The 7,053-nt window shown below is 41.6% G+C and overlaps 1 non-coding gene across 1 annotated transcript; it reads right to left on the reverse strand.

The window, feature by feature from the left end:
* Positions 1-5,499: 5,499 nt before the first annotated feature.
* On the reverse strand, positions 5,500-5,567 carry LOC124900502 (small nucleolar RNA SNORD77). Its single transcript, XR_007068431.1, has one exon. It is a non-coding gene; the product is annotated as a small nucleolar RNA SNORD77 (small nucleolar RNA).
* Between the last annotated feature and the right edge of the window lie 1,486 nt (positions 5,568-7,053).

Here is a 7,053-nt window from a genome sequence, read left to right on the forward strand (position 1 = left end):
TTGGCCTCCCAAAGTGCTGGGATTACAAGCGTGAGCCACTGCATCTGGTGGAAAAATTATGTTTCTAAAGCCTAAAACTTTATATTGTAGTTAAGGATGCAGTTTTAGAGTCAGGCTGTCTTGTTTGGAATCCTAGCTCCACCATTAAGTTACTGTGTGATCTTGAGCCAGTTACTTCTTAGTGCCTCCATTTCTTATCTGTAAGGCATGGGAAAATACAGTGAATACCTCTTAAAGTTGTCAAATACAACTTTATGTCAAATACTTTGCACATTGCCAGGAAGAAGGTACTCTCACAGGCAGCTGACCAAGTTTGTATTCTCCCAGAAGCAGGTCCTGGGACAAGAGTTTGAGTGCAAGTAATTTGTTTATCTGGGAGATGATCTCAGAAAACACTAACAAAGGAGTGTGGAAATGAGACAGGGGAGGGAAGGCAGCCAATAAAGGGTGCAATATCAAGTAGGTTATCACTGTGGGCAACTGGTTCTCAGTCCCGCTAGGGATCTTTGGGAAACTGTAGCGTATCCATATGAGAGCTATGCCCAGACCCCCTGCCAAGCGCTAAGGAAGCTGGGTGTTTATAGAGCAATTCCTAATGATTATGCCCGGAGTACTGCCTGGGACAAAGGAGACATTGACTCTGCCTTTGTGGATCTTACATTTTAATGGGAGTAAAATAGAGCATCTTGGAGTCTGACTGCATTTAACAAAATTATCTGGGTCCTACCAGTGAGGTTGTGGTCAATCACGACGGGGTAGCTATGCTCTCAGAAGAGCCAAGTTTGGATCCAGATTATCAACAGTGTATGTTAAATCCACTTGATTTTATTCAAAAGTATGTTAAAACCTTCATTTTATTCAAAGTTCAGCTCAAATATTACCCCGTCAAGAAAGCTATCTTCCCCAAATACCCCTTCTCCTTTGCATATTGTTATGCTACCCTGTGAATCTCCTTTGTGACACTTATTTTAATATCTTGATAAAATGACACGATCAGTTGTGTCATTAGCCATTTGATGGCTACCCTCCTAAGAAATCTGTGACCTTCACCACCTTATCCAAGGACTTTGCATAGTGCAGGCCAGAGATGCTGCTCGTAATAATTTGTTGAATAAAAGAGCAAGTATTGCTGTGTGAAGTTTATAAAATATTGCATAGGCCAGTAAATAGTAGCCAAAGAAATGCAAAAACAGCCCCTCCTGGATGATTTTTCCACTGATTCTTTCAGCAGTGTTTCTCTGCTACTCTCTCTATGCTTGGAATAGTCCCAGCCCCCTCTGTTGCTGGGCAAAGCAAAGTGCCTTTCTCAGCAACATCCTGAGTGACCAGCTGCTCAGGAAGTGCCCTTGATTGGTGAATATAATGCTGTGAAGCTTTTGCAATCAATGATTCAAATTTGAGGCAATGGCTGAGGCCTAACTGTTTTCTCAGGGGTCTTCTGCAGGTCACTGCATCAGATACTTGCCCCAAGTGAGCCCTCCTACTTCCACTACATTTTTTTTTCAGATAGGGTCTCACTCTGTTGCCCAGGCTGGAGTGCAGTGGGAGGATCATGGCTCACTGCAACCTTGACCTCCCTGGGCTCAGTGATCCTCCCATCTCAGCCTCCTGAGTAGCTGGGACTACAAGCGTGCCCCCACCATGCCTGGCTAATTTTTGCATATTTTTGTAGAGACAGGGTTTCACCATTCTGCCCAGGCTGGTCTCGAACTCCTGAGCTTAAGGAATCCACCCACCTCGGCCTCCCAAAGTGCTAGGATTACAGGCGTGAGCCACCATGCCTGGCCTACTTCCACCAGTCTTTTCAGGAGCAGGCTTTGAGTGTGGTGCTTTTCTCTCCCTTAAGAGTGTTCAATCCTAGATATCTAAGGGCCTTGGTCATAACCCCAAACCATCTTCCCTCTCCTGTGGGGTGGAAGGGCACTTGTGTAAGCATTCTAGGGACATCTTGGGTCATCCCATGATCGTCAAGTTATTTGTACAAATTAAACTCTGACAGTAACCCTGGGAAAACACTTTTTTACTCAGAGTTGTGAGAGGCAATGGAATCGCATGGTTTTGCTACAGTTAGTCCTTGCTTTGCACAGTTTTGATGTACAGTAGTCCCCACTTATCTGAGGGCGATACCTTCCAGGACTCCCAGTGGATGCCTGAAACTACAGGGAGTACCGAACTCTCTATCTACTAATTTTTTTTCCATCTCATAACTGAGACGGTGACTAGTGACTAACAGATGGTAGGTCAAAGTCAGCGTGGACCTGCTGAACAAAGGGATGATTCACCTCCGGGTGGGATGGAGTAGGATGGCTCAAGATTTAATCGCTCTACTCAGAAAGATTCACAATTTACAACTTGTTTATTTCTGTAAGTTTCCATTTAATATTTTCAGACTGCGGTTGATTGCAGTTAATTGAAACCATGGAAAGTGAAACCGTGGATAAGGGGAAACTACTGTACTGGAAGTTAAATTTGCATCAAACATAAATGGAGTTATAGAAGAAAAAGATGACTGTGGGAATGTTGACCCTGCCTCCATTCTCAAGAGATTCCTATGCAGCCAGAGGAACTTAGTGAAGGGGAACTTATGAAACTTACAAATGAGGAAAATGGTGGTGCTGAAAAGATGTCTCCAAGGGAGTGATGCCAGCAAAAACTTCACATCGAAGGAACTCCCAGAGATATTGCAAAGGACAAAATGTTGGAAGCTGATCCAAACTTAGAAAGGAGTATGACAATTTGCGAAGGGATAGAAAAGGTGCGTGCTCCGTGTTGTAAGTTATACCATGAAAAGAAGGAGGCAAGCACTGCTCAAACTACTTTTTTTTTTTTTTTGAGATGGAGTCTCGCTCTGCTGCCCAGGCTGGAGTGCAGTGGCACGATCTCGGCTCACTGCAACCTCTGCCTCCCAGGTTCAAGCGATTCTCCTGCCTCAGCCTCCTGAGTAGCTGGGATTACAGGTGCGTGCCACCATGACTGGCTGATTTTTGCATTATTAGTGGAAACGGGGTTTCACCATGTTGGCCAGGCTGGTCTAGAATTCCTGGCCTCAAGTGATCTGCCCACCTCAGCCACCCAAAGTGTTGGGATTACACCTGGCCTACTTTTGATAACTTTTTACAAAGACATGAAACACTCTAATTCTCAGTGTGTCTGTTTTAAATTGCAATGCACTAAATAAACATTAATTTTACTGTTTCTGCTTTCCTATACATTTCTAAGTGACAGGAAGATAAATTTTGATGTTTTTAACAATAATTTGTAAAGTTCACAGAACAATTATAATTATTCCTACTGGTTATTAAGATTGCTTTTGCACAGTTGGCAATACAAGGGCTGCCTGTAATTTGTTACAATGAAATACATACAGATGTTTTGACAAGCCCAGTGGTATTATGACAGTATTAACAAACTAACAATTGTATAAAGTCAGATATTCATATTCTGATAGCAGGGCAGAATATTTAAATTTGAGACTCTCCTGGAAAAATAAAGTTACTCAAAAATAATAGCATAATATCAGGTATCTAGAGCAAGAGATTTTAGCACTATTGCATTGTCTCAATTTTTAATGCTACCAAATCTTGCTATCTCCCCTCTTTTCTATTCAGTGTGTGTGTGTGGTGTGTTTTTTTTGTTTGTGTTGTTGTTGTTGTTGTTGTTTTTAAACAGGATCTTGTTGGGTCACCCAGGCTGGAGTGCAGTGGTGCAAACACAGCTCATCACAGCCTCAACCTCCTGGGCTCAAGCAATTCTCTTGCCTCAGCCTCCCAAGTAGCTGGGACCACAGGCATGCCACCACACCTGGATAATTTTTGCATTTTTTGTGGAGATGGGGTCTCGCATGTTTCCCAGGCTGATCCCGAACACCTGGGCTCGAGCGAGCCTTATAGGTGTGAGCCACCATGCCCGATCGGTGTGTTCTAAATATTAGTAAGAAAGCTTAAATTCCATCCTCTGATCTATTGATGAATAAGAGAGAGTTTTGGACACATCTCATTATCTTCGTATACCTCAAACCTTTCAACTGTGTGATTAAACATATTTATAGGTATGTTACAAAGATTGACAATAAAATAATTTTAGATAATTCTGGACAGTATGTGATGCTGATAAACTGCATGTATTAAAATACATTTTATGGGGGATTCTTGCAGATCTTACGGTCAGGAGCATCCTCCCTGTTGCAATAGTTTCCTCCACCTTGCAATAATACTTTCTTACGTGCACCTATTACCTAATGATCCTTATGTATACATACACATTGGAAGCTGAAATCCCAAGCTCTAGCCTAAATTGGCCAATGCCTGCCAAATGTAGGAACCTCTCATTAATATGAGATGAGTCTGGTCTACAAAGTTATTAGGATTTGTCTTCCTCTCCAATCCAACATTTTCAGCATCGCCCACAGGGCAATCTGTGATCTCGCAGCCACAGCTTGGGCTCGTCTCTTTCGTCTTGATCTGGAACCCAAGGAAGGGGGCCAAAGGACTCCCCCTGTGACCTACCAAAAGAGATGTGAGCTTGCCTCAGGAAACACTCTTGGTTCCTGTTTTGTGTATAGGCCTTGCTCAATACATATTTGTGGACCTGACCAAAGTATATTATTTGATTGTTTGTGGGGACACAGTTGTAGGGCCCTGAGCAAAGTGGGGACAAAAAAGCCCAGAACCGTAGGCCTTAGCTCCTGGAGATGATGAGATTACATAAGTTGGATTGTTAAATGGGTTTATAGATTGCTAAAAGTAACCACAACAACTTTATTTCTTCTGGGCTACTGGAGACTAACAGTCATTAGAAAGCCAATCAACCTACCCAGATGGCTGGTTGTGAACAGAGTGATGTGGAGGGCACGGCAGGAGCTGGGAAACAAATGAGAAGACGGCTCCAGAAATGGACATGTTGGTGTCCCCTGTGGGGCATTTCACACAGTATCAACCCTTTCATCCCCTCTCAACTATTTTTATGTTTATTATTGTAAATTTGTGTACATTTGTAAATAGAGAAAAGTGCACCAGATAAGATGCACCCCAATAGTACCTCTAAATATAACAACTGTTCCATTTGTACTCTCTAAATATAATCATTGCTTCTATCTTGGTTTAGATGCTTCCAGCCTTTTTAACTTGTAATATTTATTTATTTTAAAAATTGTGGTAAGGTTGGGCGTGGTGGCTCACGCCTGTAATCCCAGCACTTTGGGAGGCCAAGGCAGGCAGATCACCTAAGGTTGGGAGTTCAGGACCAGCCTGACCAACATGGAGAAACACCATCTCTAATAAAAATACAAAAGTAGCCAGGCGTGGTGGCACATGCCTGTAATCCCAGCTACTCGGGAGACTGAGGCAGGAGAATCGCTTGAATCCAGGAAGCAGAGGTTGCAGTGAGGTGAGATCGCATCATTGCACTCCAGCCTCTGTCTCAAAAAACAAACAAAAAAAATTGTGGTAAAATACAGATAACATAACATTTACCTTCTTAACCATTAAAAAAAATTGTCCCAGATACATCAGACAAATATTAAATCTCTTGATGATTCAATCTGCTGAACTATGCAACTATCATAGTACCCTTTTAACCATTTTTAAGCGTACAGTTCAGTAGTGTTTAGTGTGTTCACATGGTTGTGCAATGAATCCCCAGAACTCTCTTCATTTACCAAAACTGAAACTTGATACGCATTAAACAATAATTTCTCATTCTCTCCTATCTACAGCCCTCAGCAACCACCTTCTCAAACTATTTTTTTCTCAACTGTAAAATAGGGACACTATTCCAAAAGGATTGTTATGAGACTTAAATGAGTTAAGTGTCATGGACTAAATGTTTATGTCCCCCCAAAATTCAGATGTTGAAATCCTAACCTTCATTGTGATGGTATGAGGAGATGAGCCTTTGGGAGGGGATTAGGTCCTGAGGATGAAGCCCTAGTGAAAGGGATTAGTGCCCTTATAAAAGAGTCCCCAAAGAGCTCTGTAGTTCTCTTTCTGCCATGTGAAGCTACAAGGAGAAATCGGTAGTCTGCAACCAGGAAGAGGACCCTCCCCAGAACCCACGCCTGATCTATTTCTAACCTCCAGCACTGTGAGAAGTAAATTTCTGTTGTTTATAAGCTACCCAGTCTATGGTACTTTGTTATACACCCCAAACTGACTAAGACAATAATGTATGCAAATTGCTTGCTATAGTGCTTCATACACAATTTAAGTGCTCAGTAAGTGTTAGATATTATTATTTATGATTCTGTCTTAATGATTTTTTTGAAAACACCACTAATTAACATGGGTGAAATTGGGTATATAAACACAAATAAAGGCTATAATTAGAGAAAGATGAGTATGAAGGAAGTGAGCAACAAGAGACCGTATGTGGAAGAGGAAAGAGGAGGATGAATACTCTTATGGTCTTATCATGGAGACAGGGAGTTAGGATGCAGGTCCTGATCTACCTTGCCTTGATTGGTGGCTGTATATGAGCCTTAATTTCCACTTGCTTATTTCCTGTGGGCAGGGGCTTAAGAGACCTGGGCAATTTTCCATTTGTCTGATGCAGAGGTGGCACATAGCAGTGGGTTTTTGTTTAGCTTAATGTAAAGCATGTTATTTAAAAAGTGAATTAGTCTTCAACCTTTATTGATTGGGATTTTCACATAAAAATCTGTATTTCAGGCTTCATTCACTTGGAAGATCTGCTAAAAAGTGGTCCTCATTTAATTGAGGCAACAATTGGCTGGACTGTGTAGATGATTTCATCTCAGCCCATATCACTCAACTATGTTACCTGCTTAGCCTCTGAGGAAGGTGGTCTGTAAGGTTAATCAGGCAACTTATTTTTTTCATATAATCAAACTCATATTCCCAATATACGATCATGACCACTATCGTGACACATACTGACAATTCTACCTTTTCTAGGAAACTTGATATCCTGACTACCAATGTGTCTATAGATTATGTTCTCCCAAGTTAGTACCTTCAAGAACTGTGAAAGGTCTAAGATTTTTTTTTTTTAACTTTTATTTTAAGTTCATGGGTACATGTGCCAGACATACAGGTT

The sequence above is a fragment of the Homo sapiens genome, chromosome X (assembly GCF_000001405.40).
Source record: "Homo sapiens chromosome X, GRCh38.p14 Primary Assembly".
In the NCBI taxonomy this organism is placed as follows: domain Eukaryota; kingdom Metazoa; phylum Chordata; class Mammalia; order Primates; family Hominidae; genus Homo; species Homo sapiens.